General features: G+C 46.9%; 1 long non-coding RNA gene across 1 annotated transcript, besides 4 other annotated features; it reads left to right on the forward strand.

Annotated features, from left to right (window-relative positions):
- The first annotated feature begins 295 nt into the window (after positions 1 to 295).
- LINC00870 (long intergenic non-protein coding RNA 870) lies at positions 296 to 23,378 on the forward strand. The gene is made up of 3 exons (NR_038221.1): positions 296 to 457; positions 8,400 to 8,506; positions 20,948 to 23,378. It is a non-coding gene; the product is annotated as a long intergenic non-protein coding RNA 870 (long non-coding RNA).
- Positions 11,783 to 11,832: an enhancer, noted in NCBI's record as "active region_20073". NCBI's record gives its function as "activates an Ori minimal core promoter by ATAC-STARR-seq in GM12878 lymphoblastoid cells {active_cell/tissue: GM12878}" and the evidence as "EXISTENCE:reporter gene assay evidence [ECO:0000049][PMID:35858748]".
- Positions 11,853 to 11,952: an enhancer, noted in NCBI's record as "active region_20074". NCBI's record gives its function as "activates an Ori minimal core promoter by ATAC-STARR-seq in GM12878 lymphoblastoid cells {active_cell/tissue: GM12878}" and the evidence as "EXISTENCE:reporter gene assay evidence [ECO:0000049][PMID:35858748]".
- Positions 12,953 to 13,222: an enhancer, noted in NCBI's record as "active region_20075". NCBI's record gives its function as "activates an Ori minimal core promoter by ATAC-STARR-seq in GM12878 lymphoblastoid cells {active_cell/tissue: GM12878}" and the evidence as "EXISTENCE:reporter gene assay evidence [ECO:0000049][PMID:35858748]".
- Positions 13,733 to 13,842: an enhancer, noted in NCBI's record as "active region_20076". NCBI's record gives its function as "activates an Ori minimal core promoter by ATAC-STARR-seq in GM12878 lymphoblastoid cells {active_cell/tissue: GM12878}" and the evidence as "EXISTENCE:reporter gene assay evidence [ECO:0000049][PMID:35858748]".
- Positions 23,379 to 24,629: the final 1,251 nt, after the last annotated feature.

Raw genomic sequence — 24,629 nt, forward strand, 5'->3', positions numbered from 1 at the left:
AGCAGAGACCTCGGGGAAACCAAAGATGGCAAAGAACTATCCACTCTGTTCTCTGGCCCTATCTCTCCCAACTTCCACCTTTGCTCAGGTAGGTGGAACCTTCATGTAAATGGTTCCCTGCTTATAATGCACATTGGAATTGCCCAGAACGTCTGTTCAAAATGCAGGCTCCAGGGTCCAATGTCCAGGTTGAGAAAGCTGATATAGCACCCAGGGATCTGCAAGTTAATTTTTAAAAGAAAGTCACATGGGGCAGTAATTCTAGCAAACCTTCCTCCTAGGCCGCTGCAGAGCTGTAGAAACCCAGTTGCACAGGGCTTTATGCCTGGCAAGGGCACCCCTTGCTGTGTGCATCCCAGAGGAGGCACGTCTGAAGTCTGCAGAGGAAGCTTCTATCTTCCCTTCCAACGAATTCCTGCTCAGGCCAGCAAGGAAGAGAGTTTGAGTTGTTTATGGGGTAAGAACAAGAAATCTGTTCTGATTGCACTTCACAAAACTGCTTTACACAATTGTGACTTGCTTTACCATTGTCATTTACTGTGGTGATCCAAATGAATCAGCCCCAGTCTCTGGTTTCATTCCGCCCCTTAAGCCTTCCCAGGATTTAGTGCTCCTGAGTCCCTTTCCACTAGGCCAGCAGGCCTGGATCCCTGCCGCTAGGTGCACTGTGGAACATTTGGAGAGCTTCTGTTATAATGCCAGTGCCCAAGCTCCACCCTGAATCATGGAAGTCAGAATTGCGAGGGAGGAGTGGGGCCCAATGTAATGCTTTCTAGCCACTCCCTGGGTGCTACTGATGGTAGTCAGAGTTAACATTTGTGCTAGGTTTTCTAGCCTGGCTGCACATTGGACTCCCCAGAGCAGCTTTAAAAATCCAGATGATGCCCAGTTCCCACACCCAAAGAGACTACATTAGTTAGTTTAACATTTTTTCCCCAGCAATGGAGTGTTTCTAAAATCTTGCTCAAAGTTGAGAGCTGCTATTTAGGCCCTTCTCTTCTACAAGGAAAGTCCTAGCACAAACTCGTCCTGGAGTCATTATTAACTCAAACATCTTCAGGTTCCCTTGGGGGCCTAAGAGAGAAGGTTTGGCTCCCAGACGCCACGATGCCCAGGAATAGAGGGCTCTCGCACTCAACTGGGGGCTATGTACATGTTTGTTGACAAATGGAACTTTGCTCAGCCTGAGAGCAAACCCCGTAGTTCAGTGGGTTTGCAGACTTGCAGTGCTACTCAAAGTGTGGTCCCTGGACTAGCGGCACCAGCATCAGGGAAACTTGTTAGAAATGCAGATCTTCGGGCGCCACTTTGGACCTACTGAATCAGGGGTGCTTGTCGGTGTGGGGCCCAGCAATCTGTGTTTAGTAAGCTCTCAGGGTTATGTTGGTGCATGCATGCTCTAGTTTGAGAAGCACTCCCGTAGTGTGCAGAGGAATCACCTAAGAAGCGATATTAAATGTAAGATTCCTGCACTTCCCTGCAGAGAGGCTGATCCTGGAGGTCTGAAGTAGGACCCAGGAATCTGTTCTATTAGTCAGCACCCCAGGATAAAAATGGTTCCAGGGTCACACCTAGAAAAGTCTAGTAGAAGCCATTTGCCCGCAAAGGACAATGCTCCATCTGGCCACGCATCCCACAGCCTGCGAGGCCTCCAGTCTTCCCTCCCAGGCTCACACCCCCACTCACAAAGCTTCTGGAGTATTAAGCCCTTTCCACTCCCCAGCCTTCCCTGGAAAATGGGCTAAACCAATCCACAGGGGGTGAAGGGCAGAACCGGTGTCCCAGCACCAGGGTTCTGTTGCAGCTTCAGAAGCCTGTATTTGTGGACAGAGCTCTTCCGAAGGTTCCAGGAGGATGAAAACATCCAGTGACTCCCAGATGTTGCTGGGCTGGATATATTTATTTCTAATAATGCTCCTGGCTCCACGCTTCCAGATGGACAGTCCCAAAGAGAATGGTTTGTTTCCTTTCGTCTTCCTCCACGATGCATTTTACGATTGCAGAGGGTCCTGCTTGCCATGTGTTTGCTTCTAATCTGTAAGTGCTTTTCCACGGGCTTGGCTCTTGGCAGTTCCCATATTTACCGAGGAGAGCACACGCCGTCAGAGGCTGGCTCCCGTCCAGCCTCCTCCAGAGTTCAGTGTTTGGAGGTTGGCAGCAGATGAAGAAGCATGGCCTCTCTGTCGCCGGCTCAAACTTTCAGGGCGTTTTGCCCCTCGCACTCAATTTCTGTTATCTTTGAGGGGCTTGCCTTTTAATTTGTTTCTCCGGCAGCCATGCTAATAAATGGGCCACGGCTGAAGAGCTGTCTGAGAAACAATAGCTGCTCAGTTCCATCAGCCAATTTGTCTCAGGCACCGTTTGTTATGAATCCTCCAAGCCCATTAACCCCTGAACCTGGGAGATGCTATCTCCCCAGGGATGAATTACCTTTATTTCCAGACATGTGTTTGCTCATTTAGTACCCTATTCATAAAAGCAGCCCTGTTTTGGCACTGTTTTCCAGAAATGAAAGGGAAGGACACATCATTTGGGAAGAGTGGCTGGCCATAGCCTAAGAATGATGGCTGACATTTACTGAGCAGTGACTCTGGGCCAGGCACAATGCTAAGTGCTTTTTCGGACATTGCTTTTCAGTCCTTGCCACAGTCCCGAGTCCTGGACAAAATCATGAAGTGCATTTTGCACAGGGAGCAGCTGAAGCACAGAGGGGTTAAATGACTTACCCAAGAGCACTCAGCTGTAAGTGGTGAAGCTGAGAGTTGAACCCTGGTACCTGTTTATTTTAAGTCAACTCTCTCACCAGCTGGCCGAGCTCCTCCCCTTGAGCTCTTCCCACTTGGGCTGGGGACAAGGAGGGACATTTGGGTCACAGGAAAGAGTTCATTGGCCTCTAATGATCATTACCAATGGATTTCACTTTCGGAAAAGAGGTTTGTTGACAAAAGTGCCACATCTGACTATTTTGAATTTGAGTGCTTATTTTAATCCTGAAGTTTAAGTTACACACACTGTTTTATTCATGTGAGTGAAAGGACAGAAAATTGTACTTAATACTGCACAGATCTGTCACCATTCAGCTTGAATTGATATCTACCCATATCTACTCTTGAAAGTGGTAGGATGCAACCAGGTCTCCTGATGGCTTTGGGCGGTGCTTGTTCTGAAAATCTTAGAAGACAGAAGTGATTCATCTTCTAGAATTAGATTTCTTATTGAAGTTGAGTTAGTCTGCATAACAAAACTAAAATACCATTGTTTAAAACACAGTCAATTCCCTTACACCAGGATTTTTTCTTTAGCAGTGTTCTCGAGCTTAACACTTTAGAATCACCAGATAAATTTAAAAGAAATCATGATGCCTAGGCTGCGCCCCAAAAGACCAGTTATATCTGGATCTCTGGGAGTGACATCCAGGCATGAGCATTTTTCAAAGATCCCCAGGTTATTCCAATATACAGTGTGGCTGAGAACCAGAACTCTGACATAAAGCAGCTCCTAACAATTCCATGATAATGGTGCCACAAAGTCAACCCAGGTTCTTTCCATCTTTCTGCACTTCCACCCTCACCCTCAGCACCTGGCATTCATTATCAAGTTTATCACATGGTCCAGTAGAGCTGCTGAAGCTCCAGCCATCACATCCAGATTCCAGGTGGGAGGAAGACAGAAGGAAGGGAAGAACTAAATGATGTAATGCCTAGCCGTGATGGCCTAAATTGTGTCCCTCCTAAATTCATATATTGAAGACCTAACCCCCAAGGACCCTATATTGGAGATAGGGATTTTAAGAGGTAATTAAGGCTAAATGAGGTCATTAATGGTGGGATCCTAATCTGATAGGATTGGTGGCCTCAGAAAAAGAGCAAAAGGATCTTTCTCCTCCTCTCTCTCTCTCTCTCTCCCTCTCTCCCCCTCCCTCTCTCTCTCTCCCTCTCCCTCTCCTGCTTCTCTCCATGCCCCCACTTTCTCCCTCTCTCTGTTCCCTTCCCCTGTGTGAAGACATGGAGAAAAGCAAACCAGGAAGCAAGAAGCAAGCCCTGACCAGCACCTGACCATGCTGGTACCCTGATCTTACACTTCCAGCCTCCAGAACCATGAGAAACTAAATTTCTGTTGTGTAAGCTTCCCAGTCTGTGGCATTCTTTTATGGCAGCCCTAGCGGACTAAGACAGCGGCTGAAGTCTTAGTGGCTGAAGTCAGCCTCCTTTCATCATTCTTCCCAGAAGTTCCAGTGGCACTGCTGTTTATACGTCATTAGCCAGACATCACCTGGCCACCACTACCTGAAAAAGGGGTGGGTGAATGTTGTCTCTTTGCTGGGTTCATCACCATCTTTAATAAAATCAGGCTTCTATGACCAAGGAAGAAGGGACAAAAAGCATTTAGGTGGCAACCAGCAGTCTCTGGTTTCAATGCCTTGATGAAAAAGGGAGATGGGGTGCAGGGGTTTGGGAGATGAGAGTGAGCAAATGAGAGCTATGAGAGCGCCTAGGAGAGGGCACTTTGGAAACAAGGAAATTAAGCTCTGGTAAGCTCTACCACATGTTAGGGAGTGCCAGGAACAGACGGCAGGATTTCTGCGTGGGAGTTTCCATGGGACCCGGCCTCCCCACCGCCTCTCCACCACATCACATCTGTTGTTAAAGAGGCCCCAGTGTAGAGTCCAGCTGTTGGAAGAGCAGCCCTTCTATCGGCTTGGCCTTGCAATCACAAATCAGTTTGCTCAGAGGTCCCTGGACAAGCACAGTGACTCAGACAAGCAGCGTGTTTTTTCAGGCTTTGTCACACACAGGGAATGAACTCTTTGGCAGCCCTCTTCTGAGCCAGCATAGGAAGGGCTTGGGAAAGCTGGAGAAATCCGAGGTGCACAGACATCTGGCATTGCCCGGAAATACAGACCAGGAGCCTGTCTTTGTTCAGTGAGCAACTATTTGAGGATTTACAGCGTGCTGATGTGTGTGCTGAGAGGACAGATGAGGTCCGTGCTCTCACAGAGCTTATGTTCCAGAGGGATGAACAACAAACAGTTGAACAAATAAGATAATTTCAGATGGGGCAATGGGGAAAAGACGGGGCCACATTAGATAAGAGTCAGATGGTTCTCAGGGAAGCAAGAGGTTTTGTTGTTGTTGTTGTTTTGTTTGTTTTTGAGACAGTCTGCTCTGTTGCCCAGGCTGGAGTGCGATGGCACAGTCTCGGCTCACTGCGACCTCCACCTTCTGGGTTCAAGCGATTCTCCTGCCTCAGCCTCTTGAGTAGCTGGGATTACAGGTGCCTGCCACCACACCCGGCTAATTTCTGTATTTTTAGTAGAGACGGGGTTTTGCCATATTGGCCAGGCTGATCTTGAACTCCTGGCCTCAAGTGATCCAACTGCCTAAGCCTCTCAAAGTGCTGGGATTACAGGTGTGAGCCACTGGGCCCGGTCAGCAAGAGTTAATTGATGAAAAAGAACCCAGATGTGGAGAGAACTGGTGGGGGAGGTGGCGGGGGAAGAATGTTCCCAGGGAGGAGTGAAGGGAAAGAGGTTGGAGTGTTTGGGGAGTAGAAAGGAAACTGGGGGGTTGTGGGGCAGTGTGGACAAAGAGTGGGCAGAACGTGGGGTCAGAGAGGAGGCAGGGACTGGGTCATGGAGGGGTGGAGACAGTATGGAAAGACTGAATTTTCATTTAAGGGCAATGGAGAGCTACTGGGCAAATTTAAGCCAGGGAGAGACAACCGCTGCTTACTTTTTAAAGATCACTCTAGCTGCCATGTGGATAGTGCATGGCAGTATCTGGCTGTTTATCAGAAATATTTGCCAGCCTCTGGACTGGAAGGGAACACAGTTGATGGGGATATATGTTGGTTGGGGAGACACTGGGCCAACCAGATATATTGGTAGTTTGGGTGCGGGGGAAAGGGAATGATGGAATTCAAATTTTAGGCTTTTGGCTTGAGGATCTTGGTGAATGACAGTGTCATTTACTGAGATGAGAAGATCATGTTTGAGAAGGAAAACCGAGAAGTCTTTTGGACATGCTATTTGGAGATGCCTGATAGCATAGGGACAGGCAGAGCACAGAGCATCTCTCTGTACATGGGTCCATCTGGGTTCTCATGCCATTCAGAGGACTCAGTGGCTATTCAGAAGTTACTCCACAAGGGAGCCAGCCTTCTCACATGGGGGAACATGATCCCCGGGAGAGTCAGGAATCAAGGGGACAGACACTAAGATGGACCCACAGCAGAGCCCTTGTGAAGCTCAGAAGAATCAAGAGAGCCAGGGGACATGATATGCACTAGCTTTGAATTTGGCCAGAAGGGCCAACCAGTGGCTAGCGTGGCATTAACACCCCTTTACTAATGAGTTGAATTAGTGGCAGCATTATATATATGTGTCTACTTAAAGGGTATGAATTGAGAGACTTTAGGTTCCCTTCTCACCCCCAAAATTGTTTTCCTATCTGAGCTGGATACCTTTATCTCAGATCCCTTCATAATCACCCAGTTTTTTCAGTTGCATCATATGAGGCCAGTAATAAGACACAAGTGGTGTCATTCATTCTTCTGCATATCAAGTTAGAAGCCTCAGAATTATCTTCTTTCTCTCTCTCGGTTGTATCTTCTAAATGTCTCGCATATCATCAGGCTTCACTCTTCTAGCCTGGATCAACGTAATAGCTGCCTAACTGGTCACCTGATTGATGGCAGTTGGTCCTCACCTGGTTTCCACAGTGACTGCCAGGACACACATCTCATTGTAATGGACAATGATGGTTTTGTCTGCCAAGAAGGGCAACTGTCTTCTATCAGCCCCTCTCTGCATGGCATGTGGCTTTTGATGGGGCTGCTGATCCTGGGCCTCTGGCCCCGGCCACAAGTGGGCAGATGACTGGTGTGGGCTAATCAGAGAATGCCACCATTCCAGCTCCAGAGATTTAGTCAGTTACTGACATGCCAGGAGTAGAGAGCTTGCCCTTTCCCCCTGAAGTTCAACATTTCTGTAGGTTGGTGCAAAAGTTATTGTGGTTTTGCTATCACCTTCAAAGGCAAAAACCACAATTACTTTTACACCAACCTAATAGCTGATTGAGCCAATAGCTAAGAGATTAACCAGGCAAAAAAAGAAAGGAAAAGTGCCCCAGGCAGAGGACACAGCTCGTGCAAAGGCCTGGTGGCAAAAGGGAGCATGGAGCACACCAGGCATGAAGAGGAGGCCAGCACAGCTGCAGTGGGAATGAAGAGGGCCACAGGGAGCAGGTGGCATGACGTCTGTTCACAGCGGCAGAAGCAGTAATGGTGACAGTGCAGCAAACATTTAAAAATGGACCCATATGCTGGGCATTGTCCTAACCGCTTTACAGGCAGTCACCCGTTTAAACCTACAGTAATGCAATGAGGTAGGTATCATTAGCATTCCAATTTGACCTATGAGGGAAGTAAGACAAAAACAGGTACTTTTCTGAAGTTCTATATAGTGCATGAGATGAGATGGAGAGAGAGAGACAGGAAGGAGCAAATACAGCATGTGATGAACAGTGACAAATTATTCACAGACCAGTCACTAGCCCCAAGCACACACCCCATGACACTGGGCAGTGTCACCAGTTGGTTTGGCCAGAAGAGCTCATGGCTGACACGCTTTTCCCCACCAAAGCCATGGGTAATGTTGGCATTAACCAGCACTCCCCACCAAGATGCTTTTGGTAGAGGTGCACCCCCGCACCCCCTCTGTAGATTTACCCTACCTCCTCTGGAGAACCAAATAGGCACTACCATGAGGTCAGAGTCCTCAGAGCATTGAGGGGAAGCATTCATTACCCATCGGCTCCATAAAGCACTGAAGTGGGGCAGCCAAGTGCCTGACCCGTAATTGGAGACTCAGCCCCGTAGCCCGCTCTGCCCCCATGCAGAGCAGGTTCCTGGATTCACTTCCCATTCCTTCTGCTGCTTTTCCACATGGCTGGATTTATTTTCAAAACAATTTATAGTTACATTAAATATTAAAGGCACTTTGCAGGTGGTGTTTACTGTTTGAAAAGTTAACAAATGTATGTTGTGCCGTATGAAATGGCAAAAACCAATTTGGAGCGCTTGATGGCTTGGGCTGGGTGATAGCAACGTGACAACTATTTCCATATTTTAATGAGGCAGCTTCTTCAGAGCAGCGCTGTTACGTGATTGGGTGAGAGGGTCACACAGTGCAGACTAAGCGCGAGTGCCAGGGATAGAAAGGCCACCGCTAGCCTCAGCGCTGCTCCCCGTAGCTGTTTGTGAAGCCCAGGGCTACATGGTGGCCTATTTTATGATAATAACTTCACAGTCCTGTAGTTCTTATGGGGCCTTCACCCTGTGCCTGGTGCTGTGATGAGCACTCTCTGTTCTTCTATGATAGACTTATCCATTCCTTCTAGACTCGTTTATGGAACGCACACGCTGTGCCAGGCATTGTGCACAGAGAGACCCAGTTCCTGCCCTCTTGGAGTTTATATGACATGAGCTGAAGACAGACAAGAAGCAAGTAAGTAGACTCAAAAATAAGGGAGTTGTAGATTGTCATTAGCAGCTGAAGGAAATAAGTGAATGTAGTGACAAGGATTAACGGGAGATGGGGCAGGGTTGGTGAAGAAGGCCTCTCTGAGAAGGTGCCATTTAAGCTGAAGCCTAAAAGATAGCAGCTCAGCTGTGGGGAGAGCCAAGGGCATTCCAGGCAGATGGAACCGTAAGTGCAAAGGCCCTGAGGCAGAAAACAGCCCAGCAATTGACAGCAGGCTGGAGCCATCCTAGAGCCCCTAGCACAGAAGAGAGGGTGGCTGATATTAGAAATCTGCATTTTACAGATAAGAAATCCACAGCTTAGAGAGGTTAATTTTTCTAACTGAGGTTACCTAGCCAATTAATGCAGAGTTTCTGATTGGGTAGGTCTGAGGTGAAGCCTGCATATTTGCATTTCTAACAAGCTCCCAAGTGATGCTGATGGCTGTTGTCTGCAGACCACACTGCTTGACACTGAGGCTAATTCAGATTGTGTGCTGTTGTCATAAGAAGGAAACAGAAGCCATACGCAATGACATCCCTAGTTCTGACCTGTGCCAGACACTGATGTTTGTGCTTATATATATTATAGATAGTGTATTTTCAAAGCAACCCTTTGAGGTAGGTATTATTTTTATCTGCATATCTCTATTTCTACAGATAGAGAAACTGAGGCACAGAGAGGCAAAGCACTTTTCCTAAATTTGCACAGCTGGTGGGTGACCAAGCTGGAATTTGAACCTAGCACCCGGCCTCTCGGGTCTGCCATCCTGCCCCTCTGAGGGAAGCACTTCTGATCTCCATGTCTCTGGTGCCATTCACTCAAGTAATTACTAATTAAATTTCATAACTAACCCTGCAGTCGGCCGCCTCCCTGGTCTTTGTGGCACTGAGTTTGCAAGTCCTGCCTTACTCTGAAGGTTCCTTTTGTTTTCCTGCTCTCCTTCCCTGATTAGTTCAAGCACATATTCAAAGGAGCACACATTCCCTGAGCTCCTTCTGACTGATGGGTGTTGTCACAGGCTTCTGGAGAGAGCTTGTCTGCAATGACTTCTCCGTGGATAATGGACGTCGACTTGGCTGCATTTCTCACGCCTTCCCCTTGTGTTTAGCAATCTCACATTTTTGGAGATGTTGTTGGAGCATCTGTGATGAACCAGGGGCTGGAATGAGAGCTTTGCAAACCCTCGAACCTGTGCTTTTGGGGAGGTGTTATCAGTCCTACTCTATAGATGGAGAAACTGACATGCAGAGAGGCAAAGAAAATTGTTCTGGGTCTCATAACTGACAAGGGATGGTGCCAGGATCTAATCCCACGGTTGGATTAGTAGATCCTGAGCCCTATCTACTTCATATACTCTCTGGCCCCATCAGGATTATCTGTAATGAGAGGCTCAGGAGGCCCAGGGTCAGGACCACATAGCTGGTGTCAGAAGGGTCCAGGACAGGGGGTCCATCGCAACAGGAGAATAAGCAGATCGTGGAAGGTCAGGCATGGAAGCCACACAGCACTCAGCCTTCTAAATCCTCCTATGTGCGTCTTTTGATAGACGGGGAAACTGAGCCCCCTGGGGTGGGAAAGGTTCATTTCTAATTAATTACTCTTCTCTCTCTCTCTTTTTTTTTTTTTTAATAATTTCAACTTTAGATGGAGGGGGTACACGTGCAGGTTTGTTACCTGGGTATATTGCATGATGCTGAGGTTTGGGGTACAATTCATCCCATCACCCCCATACTGAGCATAGTACCCACAGTTAGTTTTTCAAACCTTGTCCTCCTCCCTCTCTGCTCTAGTACTCTCCAGTGTCTATTGCTGCCATCTTTATGTCCATGAGTGCCCGATGTTTAGCTTCTACTTATAAGTGAGAACATGCGGTATTTGGTTTTCTGTTCCTGCATTAATTTGCTTAGGATAATGGCCTTCAGCTGCATCCATGTTGCTGCAAAGGACATAATTTTGTTCATTTTTTATGGCTGTGTAGTATTCCACAATGTATACGTACCACATTTTCTTTATCCAGTCCACCATTGATGGGCATTTAACTTGATTCCATGTCTTTGCTATTGTGAATAGTGCTGCAATGAACATTCAAGTGCATGTATCTTTTTGGTAGAATAATTTCTTTTGGATATATACCCAGTAATGGGATTGCTGGGTTGAATGGTAGCTCTGTGTTAAGTTCTTTGAGAATTTCTCTTCTTTATAATACATTAATCCAGGCTTTCTCCACCTTGGCACTATTGACATTTTGGGCCAAATAATTCTTTGTTTTAGAAGACTGTCCTACACCCTGTAAGATGGCTAGTGGCAACCCTGACCTCTACCCACCAGAGGCCAGTTGCACCTCCCTGGCCCCTGGCCAGGTTGTAACAACTAGCAATGTCTTCAGATTGGAGGCTGGTTGAAAACCCCTGCATTCATCTGACCAGGCCCCTTGCTGGCTTACAATTCTTCAAGTTTCCCATAGTTTTTCTGGATAAAAGCAAAACTCCTTTGCTGGATCTATAAAACCTTCAATGATATGGCCCTGCTAATATAATTCAAGACACTTGTCTCTAGCCAGCACCCTCCCCAACGCCCAGAGAAAAAAATAATAGCTGACAAATACTGAGTACTTCCTAAGTGCGAGGCATTGTTCTAAGTATAAGTGCACTCCAAGGGTCACCATCTGTATGTCATAGCTGAGAAAATTGAAGTCTCTAGAGTTTAAGAAATGTGCGCAGGGCCACATGGTTAGCCCCTGGCAGATCTCCAGTTTGAATCCTGGCATTCTGACCTTGCCCCCAGCCCCTTTGCTTAACATACATAATAGGAACGATCGTTGCTCGAGCTTCTATCAATGCCGTTCCCTGAGGATGAAGCCCCACCCTGCTTCTCTGCACCGCTGACTCCTCTCACCCTCACTGTTCCCGGACAGTGGAGACAGCGTCTCTTTCGTTGCTCATCAAATCCTATGCCTGGCACAGCCCCAAGCTCAGCCAGTGTTTGTAACTCACCGGGTGTGTCAGCCCAGGACTCACCTCTCCTGGCAGGGCTGTCTTCATAAGGGATGATTTGCTTGACCAAAACAAACTCACTTGCGCTAACTTAAACACAGGGAAAGCAATCCTGAGGAGTTAGGTTATCTTGCAGGTCACAAGGACAAGAATTCATCTGGGTATCCTCTAGTTTAAGACTAGAAATTCCTCACAACAGACTGGTGCTGGGAATTGGAAAGCTGGCAGGAAGCAAATGGGCTCTTCCTCCTCTCTCTTTGGGTTCTTAAGGAGCACTTTTCTCCTTCTCTGCTTCATTTGCCTGCTTTTTGCTGTAGACCAGCCCCCAGCTCTCTGTTTGCACACCAGAACATGTGACTCCCAAATGCCTCCCCAGCACGGCCACCCCAACCACCCCAGCACAGGCAGCTCCAGCCCAAGTCTATGCACCTTAAAGGTTTAGTCCACGAAGCGACTTGATTTGTAAGTCTGAGCCCTAAGGCCAGGTCACTGGGAGGGAAATCCCATTGGCCCTGCTTGGTCAGGGGGTCACAACCTGGCTACAGATGACTCACTGGGGACTCTGGGAATAATCTCTCTCAAAAGGTAAAGTGGACAGGGACAGAGAAGATGATTAAGAAAGGAATAGAAATCCAGGGGAGGCCAGGCGCGGTAGCTCACACCTGTAATCCCAGCACTTTGGGAGGCGAGATGGGCAGATCACTTGAGGTCAGGAGTTCGAGACCAGCCTGGCCAGCGTGGTGAAACCCCCATCTCTACTAAAAATACAAAAATTAGCTGGGTGTGGTGGTACATGCCTGTAATCCCAGCTAGTGGGGAGACTGACTCAGGAGAATAGTTTGAACCCGGGAGGCAGAGGTTGCAGTGAGCCAAGATCACGCTACTGCACTCCAGCCTGGGCAACAGAGCGAGACTCCATCTAAAAAAAAAAAAAAAAAAAAAAAGAAGAAAGAAAGAAAGGCAGGGGAAAATTGAAAATTATGACAGAGGAAACAATGAGGTGAAAGAAAGGCCCAGTGTCTCAGATCGCCCTGGCTGTCCCCTGAGTTGAGGACACATCTCTTTCCTCCTTCTAAGAAGAGGCCTTGTCACTTTGTTCTTGCTGGCAGAGCTGGAAAGGCTTGAAGGAGACCACCCAGTGAGGTCACCACACAGTCCTCTTTGCTGCCCCCCATCCTCCCTGCTTTATGGTACCCAAGTCAGGGCTGCTGACCAACCACTGAGTGTCTTGACAAGTCTCAGAGAAGAGATGGACAAGGTACAAAAGTCCTCCGGCTGTTCGGCTGGGAATGGGCTCCCTAATTATGTTCTCAGCCCATACGCCCTGTGGCCACAGCTTCCAGTTAACTAGCAGCAGCCAGAGGGGTGGGGCAGGGGCAGACAGACCAGGTTCCAGGTAATTGTGGCCAAGCCGGAGCTGAACACAGAATGTGGAGGGTGTGCTGGCTTCTGGACACCCCAGATTATGGCTCTGGTGTTGTGTCTATATGATGCAACCAGGGTGTGTATCTTCCCCCCAGGGAAAGGCCCTCCCCACTCCAACCACCACCACAGGTGGTGTGGAGAACTTGCTAGATGCACGCAGTATCTTCTTCCTCCTTCTCAGGGGCCCTGCTGAGCCCAGAAGACCTAATTATATTTAGCGGGTTGCAGTTTAGGACTTGCGGTTAGGCAGGAAAGTGTGTGATTCTCCAAGTGTGGTTCCCCCTAATACCTGCATCTGAATCCCCTGGGGAGCTTATAAAAATGCAGCTTTCTGGGCCCCACCTTTGACCTATAGAATCAGAATCTCTGGATTGGTGGGGCCCAGGAGTCTGTACTTTAATAAACTTACTCTCTCCCCTCTGCTGCACATCAATCGTGTGCACACCAGTGATTCTGTTGTACTCAAAAGTTTAAGGACCGAAAATCACTGGCACAGTGGTTAAAAGCTTGGTGTCTAAACTTGGAGCCTGACTCTCTTATTAGCTGGCCCTGTGGCCAAATTAGTTACGATGCTTCATCTCAGTTCCCTCACCTGTAAAATGGGCATAAACACAGCATGCATGTCATAGAGTTACTGGAAGCACTCAGTGCCCTTAGCTGTAAATAGTGAGCACTGCCTAATGATAGCTGTCATGCTTTGTTGTGGTGGAGGACAGAGAGGATATGAAAGCTGTGAAGGCCAAAGACTAGAAGCCAACCCAGACTTAAGTCTAGAGCTGGCGGACTGGGGTGCCAGGGAAGAATGATCTCTGAGCAGAGCACAGCAAAGATGAGATGTCATCCAGGGCAAGGCCCAGAGGAGGTCACGTGCTGTAAAGTCCCTGCAGTGAGACAGCATGGGGCACCTAGGGACGAGAGCCAGACACAGTCAAGGGCAAGAAAGACAGGTAGGCAGGAGCCAGACTGGGAGAGGCCTGGTAGACCAAGGCGTGGGCACTTGATCCTGTGAATGATGAAGGGTCATGTAGGTTACATTTGCACACTGTTACACCTTTAGACACGGGCACCTGAGGTTCTTGCTTAGGGTGTGATTTATAGGGCTCTACCCTGGAGCCCACTGCCTCCCCGACAACCTGGTTGAGGAGTGGTGATACCTAAGGATTCGCCACCTGGAACCTACATCCACTTCTTTATGCATCATGCTTTACATACTTGGAACTCCTGCTCCAAACATCCTGAGCCTACCTTTAGGGTCTGTGCACACCTCTTTCTCTTGTCCCTCTTCCTTCTCCAGGGAGGCTGCTACAGCTTTTGTCCAGCAGGCCAATCTGAGAGGCAACCGTGTGTGTACAGGAGGGGTGGGCAACTCTTGGACTTGCAGTCTGTGGGGTCCACATGCGTGGGGCTGGAGATGGGCCTTGCACCCTCCTTTGTGCTCTTCTCCCAGGTTGCAGTAGGTATCGGGGCAGGACTGCTGCAGATTTGCTCTCTGGCTTGCCAGAAGGGAATGGACTAGGCGAGGCCTCCAGACTCAAGGCCTGCAGACCTGTTATGAGCCTGTTGCCAAAATCCCAGCCAAAGAAAATGGTGGCTTCTGGCTAAGTTGTGGTGGCTAGGAGTGGGGGAAGGTGACTGATTCAAGAACTATTCAGTAGGTGGCCTCATACTGTTCCCTGTCTTGTCTTTGACTGCTCATGGGAACCAATCCACCATTCCACAGGGAGGAGGAGAAAGTAATTTGAAGCTAGCAGGGTTAGATGCAGAAACAATAGGCTTATCCAGACTATACAGAAAAAGGTAAAAGAAAAAAAAATCAGTGACACACAAAAGCTAATACAATATTACCTCACTTGCAGAAGAGCATTGCTGAAAGACAGGACCTCTGGTGCATGGCAAAGACTGAAGAAGAGAGAAGTTGGGGAGGGAAGCTTTGAGTTTATGTGAGACTAAGGCTAGGTAGCAATCTCATGCCTTCTCATTGCTGCCAATGAAAAAATTTTAGCTTGCCATCAAAAAACAGAATTTCTGGAAAACTTATATCCTCCACTATGTGCTTGACAGCTTCCCCATGTTTGAAGACTCTTCTGATAAGATCAGTGTGGATATGAACACATGCGACCTTTTGATATTATGTAACAAAATGTGTCAACATTTGGTAGATCTGCAGAACTCTGTGAACCAATATTTTCCAAATAGTTGATATAATGTTATAGAATCACACATGGGTAAAAGGTCCATTTAAAACACAACATAGACAGATTGATTTTAATATGATAAAATATAAAAGCTCACTGATAGGTTTTCAGATTTCATGTTGCATCTAACCAGTACAAAAACTACCACTTGTTGAGTTTTGGTATAGTATCACAAAGGAATAGCCACAGTTATCTGAAGAGGGTATTAAAATCGTCCTTTCGTTTCCAACTGTGTGAAGCTGAATTTTTAAATACATTTTAACCAAAACAACGCATCCCAATAGATTGAATGAAGAACATATATGGGAATCTGGCTGTCTTCAATTAAGACAGAAGCTGAGGCCAGGCATGGTGACTCAAGCCTGTAATCCCAACACCACCTTGGGAGGCTGAGGTGGGAGGATTACTTGAGCCCAGGAGTTCAAGAACAGCCTGGGCAACATAGTGAGTCCTTGTCTCTGCTAAAAAAAAAAAAAAAAAAAAAAAAAAATTGTGTGGTGTGCACCTGTAGTCCCAAATACTTGGGAGGCTGAGGCAGGAGGATGATCGCTTGAGCCCAGGAGATCGAGGCTGCAGTAAGCCGTGATCGTGCCAGTGTACTCCAGCCTGGGTGACAGAGCAAGACCTTGCCTCAAAAAGAAGAAAAAAGAAAAGATTAGATTGGCAAAAATGTAAAAACAATACAACTTTATTTTACTAACTTTTAAGAAAATATAGTTATTTTTCATAAAAATATGATACACATGTTAACATATAAGGGGTTTATTATTGTTATTCTAATGAGTTAATAAATATTTTAAATACATATTTTTAAAAACATTCTTTGGGCTCATGTAGTTTTAAAGGTATAGGGTTCTGAGGCCAAAGTGTGAGAACATCCATTCAAACTATTTCTTGGAAAAATCTCACTTTTTCACTTAAAACGGTATCAAGGATATCTGTTCAAATATAATATCTAATAATATAAATAATGCTACCTTTTTAGTACTTAGAGTATGCCCAGAAATTGTGCTAAGCAGTTTGCAAGCATCAACTCATTTCCATTTACTCTTTACAAAAGAACCTGTGTGAGGTAGGTACATGTACCCCAATCTGCAGATGAAGGCACAGAGAGGTTAAACTGCTTGCCCAAGGATACACAGCTACTTAGGTGATCCAGCCAGTTTTGAACTCAGACACTCTGACTCTAGAGCCCGCATGTTTCGTAGTAACCAAAAGTATGGAAGTCCCAAGATGTCTGTGAATAAATATACCTTGAGTAGGTTTTAAGGACTAAAGTGGTATATAGGGCTTTGCTTAGGAAAAATTGCAACATAAATTTGGGTAGGTGATTTATGTAGCCATGAATCTTTCTCACCATAAGTAATCTGTGGTCTTGGTGTACCTGTTGTGTTTTTGCACAGGCCTTCTAGCACCCCCCAAAAAACTGAAAGACCAGAGAAGATTAGCTGTTCACCTGCACACTCTTTTGAGACTCTCGGTGAATACCAAGGGTTTCCCTGCCAAACTGTGAAGAATGCCTTCTCTAACCCACTTCAATCCACCTTCTGTCTTCTTATCTGCTGTTTCATAACCCCATAGTTTTCCTGTAGCCATGTATCCCAATTGGTAATGATCTGTTTGTCAACTGGATTGCTCAGATCCCTGCTCCCCGACTAGATCACGTCAGGTCTAGTTGCTCCTTGAGAACAGGGAACCTGGCTGTTTGCATTCATCCTTGTGTCCTCTGAACCTAGGACAGTGCCCAGTACACTGTAGCTCTCGTAAATGCTGGTTGAGTGAATGACTGTGAAGTAGATACTCTCAGAGCTCTGCACCTAACCCCTTCACTGTTTCTGTGCACACCAGCTCCTGAGGGACTCTGTTTCCTACCAGTCTGTCCCTGCACTTCTTCATTAGGGGCTGCTCTCAGGCAGCTAGAGCCTTGCTGCACCAGTCAAGTGCTGGCGATGCCTGAAAATGTATGCCCCTCTGGGGACAGCCCTTAACCAGTGACAGGTGGTGAGAATTGCAAGTAGAAATACTTCGTCATATCACCCCTCATCAGGACACCCAAGATGCACCCCGTTTCCGAAGGTTCCCTGCAAGATTGAATCTAAAGTACCCTTCCTGGCAGGGGTCTCCAACCCCCAGGCCATGGACCAGTACCTGTCCATGGCTTGTTAGGAACCAGGCCGCACAGCCGGAGGTGAGGCTGGTGAGAGAGTTAATTTTCACCTGTATTTACGGCCACTCCCCAACACTTGCATTACCACCTGAGCTCCACCTCCTGTCAGATCAGCAGCAGCATTAGATCCTCACAGGAGCGCAAACCCTATTGTGAACTGCACATGCAAGGAATCTAGGTTGCCCGCTCCTTATGACAATCTAATGCTGGATGATCTGTCACTATCTCTCATCACCCCAAGATGGGACTGTCTAATTGCAAGAAAACAAGCTCAGGACTCCCGCTGATTCTATATTATGGTGAGTTGTATAATTATTTCTTTATATATTGCAATGTAATAATAATAGAAATAAAGTGCACAATAAATGTAATGTGCTTGAATTGTCCCAAAACCATCTCCTCACCCTCCTGGTCCACGGAAAAATTGCCTTCCATGAAACTGGTCCTTGGTGCGAAAAAGGTTGGGGACCGTTGCTTCATGGGACTTGGCTTGCCACTATACCCCTGCTTGCTCCCTTCCCCTTCCCATCTGACTTCCCCACCACCCTGTGTTTTTCCCTGCAACACTTCCTCATACAGCAGGCATATCTTTGCCTCTGGGTCTGCTCCTGGGAAACTAGACCTAAGACAGTTTGGAACTGTGTCTCCCTATGAGGCGTCACCCCTCATGCCTTATAGACACTTCATGTTTGTTGAATGAATGATACCAGGATCTCATTTGTAATCCTAGAGCACTCGGGCAAGATTTAAGGAGTGGAATGGCTAAGAAAGACACTGTTCCAACAATATTCTCTAGAAACCTTGATAATGAAGACCTCTGGGAGAGTGGTATCACCAGTGGAAGGCTGGAGCTGGTTCCTTCTGGCTTGTGGGAGCCAATTGTTCCACATTCTGGAATTTCATAGGCCACTTGTTAGATGCTAAGGAGCTTGAAATTGGCCATGGTAGGAGTATTTACACCACAGAAATTGGCAGATGCTCCAAATCACAGCTATTCCCATCCCTCCTCTACCTTCAGGGAGCCAGTTTACTCCACACCACTGGACATAACCCTTCAGGGTTAACAGGGAAAACCTGTATGATAAATAAAATATAGCATATTGGCTAAAACTATGGGTTCTGTAGCCAGAGAGACCTGGGTTCAACTGTATTGTCATTTATTGATTCTATGACTTTGGCAAGATACTTGATTTCTCTGTTCCTATATTTTCTTCATCTATAAAGCAGGGCTAACACCATTCATCTCTTGACATAATACATATGGTCCTAATGCCTCATGTGTAGAAGCAGCTCCATGAATGCTGGCTATTATTATGTTAGAACCAAGAGACATATAGCAAGGCCTGGAATATGGTCTTGGAGACTACTGTCATGGTGCCCCCAGGTCAGCAGACTTCACCTCACTGCTTTATTTTTTAATTGTCAGCCCAGCCCTGTCAGGTCACCTTGGCCAAAAGCTGTGGTCTGGTGACCTCTTAAGAGGATGAATTGCTGGTCTCAGCTGAATGCTTATCACGTAGAAACACAAGGCACCAGATGTTGGCTCATTCTACAGATCTCTCGAAGAAAGAATGAGCACTGGGACTCTGTCTCTGTGGCTGCCTTCTAGAAAAGACAATCCACTGGAGGCAGATTTGTTAGCAGGAGCTGTGCCCAGATGGCTGGAAATCACATTGCCTCTAAGACCAAGACCCACGGTCCTGGGGCACTACAGTGACACAATCCCATCAGAGGTGGCACCAATGAAGCAATACATTTCCTGAATCAAATGCAATTGATTAGCTAAACTTGAGCAACCTGAGAATGGTGTAGACAAAGCTGCCAGTGCCCTGCCCATGTCTCCTGGGGACCAGCTCACACCTGCTGGCTTCCTTTCTGCCACTGCTGCCTTCCACTCTGGCCACCGTCAACTCTGCACAGGATACTTGTCCCTAGGAGTAGCTGGCAGCCCAAGATTGATGGGAGTTGGTGGCTAAATCCCCAGCTTCCTCACAACTTAGGTAAGACAACGCAAGGGTGCACTCTACAATGTCTCTCAGTACTAGTAGACTAGTTACTAGTAGTGGGATGAGTCCAACTGTCCACAAGAGTGACCTGCTCATGACACACCCTGATGGACTGCCTTCCCTTCCCTTCCTCACCTCCCCACTCCCCTACTAGTACCTCCTGGTTCACTTCCCAAATAAAGTACAGGCCCTCACAGCTTGGTTTCAGAGTCTGCATCCAAAGACAATAGATGCCAATTATTCAACACCTACCATGTGCTTTCCTCTGTGGAAAGGTCATAAAGGGGGTGGGTCAGGGTCAGTTCAGAGAAAGAATGAGCCAAGCTAAGAGTGACAAAGGGGGCTGGGATTTCTTCTGAGACAGAGTCTTACTCTGTTGCCCAGGCTGGAGTGCAGTGGCATGATCTTCGGCTCACTGCAACCTCCACCTCCCGGGTTCAAGCAATTCGCATGCCTCAGCATCCTGAGTAGCTGGAACTACGGGCATGCATCACCATGCCCAGCTAATTTTTGTATTTTTAGTAGAGACGGGGTTTCACCATGTTGGCCAGGCTGGTCTCAAACTCCTGACCTCAAGTGATCCGCCTGCCTCGGCCTCTCAAAGTGCTGGGATTACAGGTGTGGGCTAGGATTTCAGATGAAGGATTGTTCATCTTCAGCTGGCCTTCCATCCTTCTTGGGTTTTGACATGCAATGCATATGTCAACCTTATAAACATTTACTGCAAGTGTTTTACAAGACCCAGAATTATGGGTTTGCTGAAGAAGCCCAGAGAAAATGGAGCAGACCTTTAAAATGAAGTTTCTGGACTGGCCTTTTCCATGAATAATAATAAAAGACAGCATTTATGAGGCTCTTACTTTTTGTCAGATACTGTGACCAAGGGCATGATCTTATTCAGTTGCCAAAACAATGCTATGTGGCAGGTCCTACTATGTTTCATTTTGTGGTTGAAAAAACTGAGTCTCAGAGAGATTAAGTCATTTGTCCAAAGATGTCCAGACAGGTAGATGGTGCAGCCAGGAATCCCATGGTCACCGGTGTGCCAGGCCCGGAGTGTGATTAAGATGTATAGATCAAAGCCTCCCTCTTCCTCTATCCCACTGGACTACCAGATCCAGGGAATGGCGCATTTCTCTGATTGGTTCTGTTTTTAACAAGGTGCTGATGCTCATTGTGGAACACTGCAAAATACCCCCTCCTTTCTTGACCTTTCTGTCTCTGCAACAGCCTCATGTGTTCATCATAGGCACATCAGGTGGAAGGGAATGAAAGCCACTGTGACAAACAAGACAAAGAAAGCCCAGCATTGCCAGTGGCCTGGGACCTGAAAACAAGTCATTGTGTGTTAATTCTTCATGGAAGAAAACTAAAGGTCGTGTGTGTCAGTGTGAATGCTGGCTGTGAAATTAATGCTTTGGCCAAATGACTCAGTCGAGACAGAAACATGATTTTGTTCGCGCTGGTGTGAGCCAACATCTCAAAAAAAAAAAAAAAAAAAATGCTGCTTGGAATCAGTGGAATCTTCGAAGGCCAGGCCTTTCAGTTTCCACTGCTCCTAACCAAGCTACTTCGGTCTCTCTGATTGCTGCCCTGCAAAGACCAGACAGAACTCACTTTTCTCCATCTTTCCACAGGTGTAAGAGCTACCAGAGGGAGGAAAGTGGAAGCTACCAGACGGAGGAAGCATAAACCAGGTCCTGATCCCTGATTAATTGAGAATCAGCCAGCTTGGGAAGGGGATGGCTGCGCAAGCCCACAGAACGCAGACTCCCAGAGGAGGCAGGGGTAGGAAAGCTCTTGGCCGTGGCCTGATTGTCTGGGAGACGGGAGTCAAGATGGCTTGGTTTCAACAAACTGGCTTTGATTACTTGGCGTTTGGCTCTGTGCTCTCTGGCCAGGTCAGCCTGACCCACGGTTGTCACCCCAGAGGACTGTGAAATAACAAGTGCAGTTAACTGGCCACTGCTGATCTGCGCCTAGAAGACAACGTCTCAGTTGTTAAGGCTTTTGTTGGCCTGCTCAGGAAGCGATTCTTTTTGCCTGCAAATTATTGTAGGTTCCTGAGGGAACCGTGCCAGTCCTTGCCCTTTAGCTGCTCTGCTCTGTGCTGGGCTTGTGGGGTGAGAGAGGAGACAGAATAGGGAGAAGGAGGAGAGGGGAGGCTGTACCTTGTAGGTGGATATTTTAAGGCTCTAATGTTAGCTGTGGTTGGAATTGACCAAGGGAGGCACTAGCAAGAGGTTGGAGGGCCGGAAGAGGAAAGAAACCAGAGTTTCTCTCCAACTCCTCTCTCTCTTTCTCTGCCTCAGATGGTCAAAATTTTAAGGAGACAGAATCCAACAGGGCTGGGATTAGGATGAAGTGAGTGAGGCTGAGCTGTGCAAATACGAGGTCAGATCCTGACCTTGTTCATCATGGAATTTTTGCATTAATGTTGATATTTTTTAAATATTGTGTTGAAATATTTATCTTGATTACTGAGCTTTTTGACATTTCCTTAGACTTTATCCCAAAGCAAGAGCCTTGCTTGTTTCACCCTGGTCCTGGCCTTGCCTTCCAGTGTGTCGGACACATTTACGCACAGAGAAAAATAGGCAATCCAAATGGTCCAACTCTATTGGATATTCTCTATGCTGCTTTCATTCACTCAATAATGTGTAGCTGAGCACTTTTCTGTGTCAATGAATATAGTTCCACATTATCCTGGGCTTGAAGGATGTGTTATCAAATATTTTACTAACCCCCCACTGATGCATCTAGCAGGATCTGTCCATGCCCTGCCCATATCTCTAACATTTCTATGTGCTCCAGCCAAACTCCACTGCCAGCTCTGCATTTCTGAGTGGAAAGTCTCGTTTCAGATCTGCAGAATGCCATGCTGCCTATCATTTCAGCAGGGGAAACTGCCATAGAATTAACATCTGCCAGGAATAGCTCTTGACCAATGACTAAGGGGGGACTGGTGTGTAAATACCCCAGCTCCCTTGCCCATTGGGTGGGACAACTCAGGTGTGTGCTGTACACTATATCCCAGAGCTCTCTCCATGGGTACAAGCTCCAGTTGCCCACAGTAGTGCTTGGCTTAATTACCTGCCTTGATTGGCTGCCTGTCCTTCTCCATATCACTTTTCCTTTCCCTCCTGGGGCTGTCTACAACCCCAACCCAGTAACAACTGCACTTGAATCTTTGTCTCAGGATCTGCTTCCGTTAAGATGGACATTCCGATTATTTTGAATTTTTCAGTGTTAACATGTTCACCACCCATATGGATTTTGGCATATTAATAGCTGCCACCCCCTCCTTTGGGGATGTGGTCCATACAAAGCAAGGGTAACAGAAGAAGGTAAAGTAGAGAAAAGAGACAGAAACTCTGAAATGCTACCATGCATCTCAGAGTTATGTCCTATAAAATGAGCCTTTTCAGTATGTGCTGTGGCATCAAAAGTGTTGAGAAGCATTGTTCTCACTGGTCAGGCTGTGCCTTCACCTCTGTAGCTCCAATGAGTGACACATAGTAGATAATGGATAAATATGTGTTGCATGAATAAAGGGAGGAGTAATTGGTTCATGCTCTGAGCCTCTGCCAAGCTGAGTATATGAGACCTTTTGATTTACCTGAGCAATTGAGCATCTGTGCCTCAGGACTCTCTAGTTCTACCATCAAGACAGAGAATGGTGTGATACTCAGGTTAACAAGGTGAGTCCAGGAGTGTTGCCCTGGAGGCATAAAACAGGGGCCCAGCCTTTGGAGATAAAGCATGCTCTGGTCCTAAATGGCAGCAGGAGAAGAATCTTCCCAAAGTGAGAGTCAGGCCACAATACCTCCCCTGGGAGGACGTCTGTGCCTGTGTATGTTGGAGAGAGAAGGAGCTTTTTCATCCCAAGTGAGTAGAGAGGTTACATCCTCTGACTGCTTCCCCCTCTCTCTGTCTTTCTCTCTCTCCTGCTGTGAAGGCCAAGTATGACTTCACAGAATCCCTAAGCTCCATAAATCAGTTCTAGATCCATCCCTTGCAGCTGTAATGAAAGCAGGATTTTAATAAAAACTGGATACTTCTACTGTTTCAATTGCTATCAGTTGACTCTAGAAGCATTTTTCTAAGATGAGGAAGGAAATCTAGTTATTCCAAGAGCCGACAAGGGAAGGCTGTAACTTTTCCGGAAATGTCCTCATAGAAGCCCTGGCTTTTGAGTACATAACACTCTCTCCCCCACCACCACCCAGCTGCCAACCCAGATCAAGGTTGACTTTGTTCACATAGTCTTTGTAAATGGCTTGTCCCAGACAGTGACCCATCTGATCATGTCTGAGCTACCCCACCTCTTTTCCCCTGTCTCCTCCCCACACTGAAGATTCCTGCTCTGTCCTGTAATTCCCTTGGAGAACAGATGCTCCCATTCCAGAACCACCGATACTGCTGGGAGTTTGTATTTCAAGGGACAGCAGCCCCTTTGGGAGGAGCCGAAATGGTGGTCAGCCTTCCACTGTCACTTTGAAAGGTATAACATTTTATTCCCTGAGTTTGTATGCCTCCATTTTGACTCATCTTCTCTTCATTTCTGTCAGCATATTTATCTGTACTTCTGTCCACAGTTAAATCTTTGCCCATAAGGAGTTCACCTTGGAAATGACAGCGTGACCTGACTTCACACTAAACATCCTAGACCATGCACACAGACGGTCCTTTTACCTGGGACTGATAAGGAAAGCCAAGCTTAGGATTTGTGTCATATGAAGGCTTATTCTCAGCAGCCTGGCTCCTTGATCTCGCCCAAAGGCAACTTTTTAGCTTCCCATAAATCATTCATTTATCTGCATTACATCATCTTTGCAGGACAACTGCATAGAAGTAACCTCCCAACCCAGCTGACCAATCTGCGCAGGTAGCAAGCGCTCCCTGCATAACTTCTTAGTGGCCTCCCTTCAGGATTGGTTCCCTACCCACTTGTATTAGTCAGCTATTACCAAAATAATGCTATGTAACAATCATCCTCAACATTTGGTGGCTTAAAATAACTATCGATTCTCTCCACTGACTGTACGGTTCAGCTAGCTCCAGGCTGAGGATCGACCTCAATCTGCTTCACTTGCTAACCAGAGTATACTCTTTTCATGGCGAATAGTGGGGATGCCAGAGACCAAGTTGAATTGCACACTTCAAGCCTCTGCTTATGTTGTAGTTGCTTCTGTTCATTGACTCAAGCAAGTCACAAGGACAAGCCTCAAGTTGGTGGGGCAGAGGAAGTATCCTCTTCCCTAAATGGGCAGGGAGAAGAGTGAACGTTTGCTGAACAATAAGATTATCAATCACACT

The sequence above is a fragment of the Homo sapiens genome, chromosome 3 (genome assembly GCF_000001405.40).
Source record: "Homo sapiens chromosome 3, GRCh38.p14 Primary Assembly".
Taxonomy (NCBI): domain Eukaryota; kingdom Metazoa; phylum Chordata; class Mammalia; order Primates; family Hominidae; genus Homo; species Homo sapiens.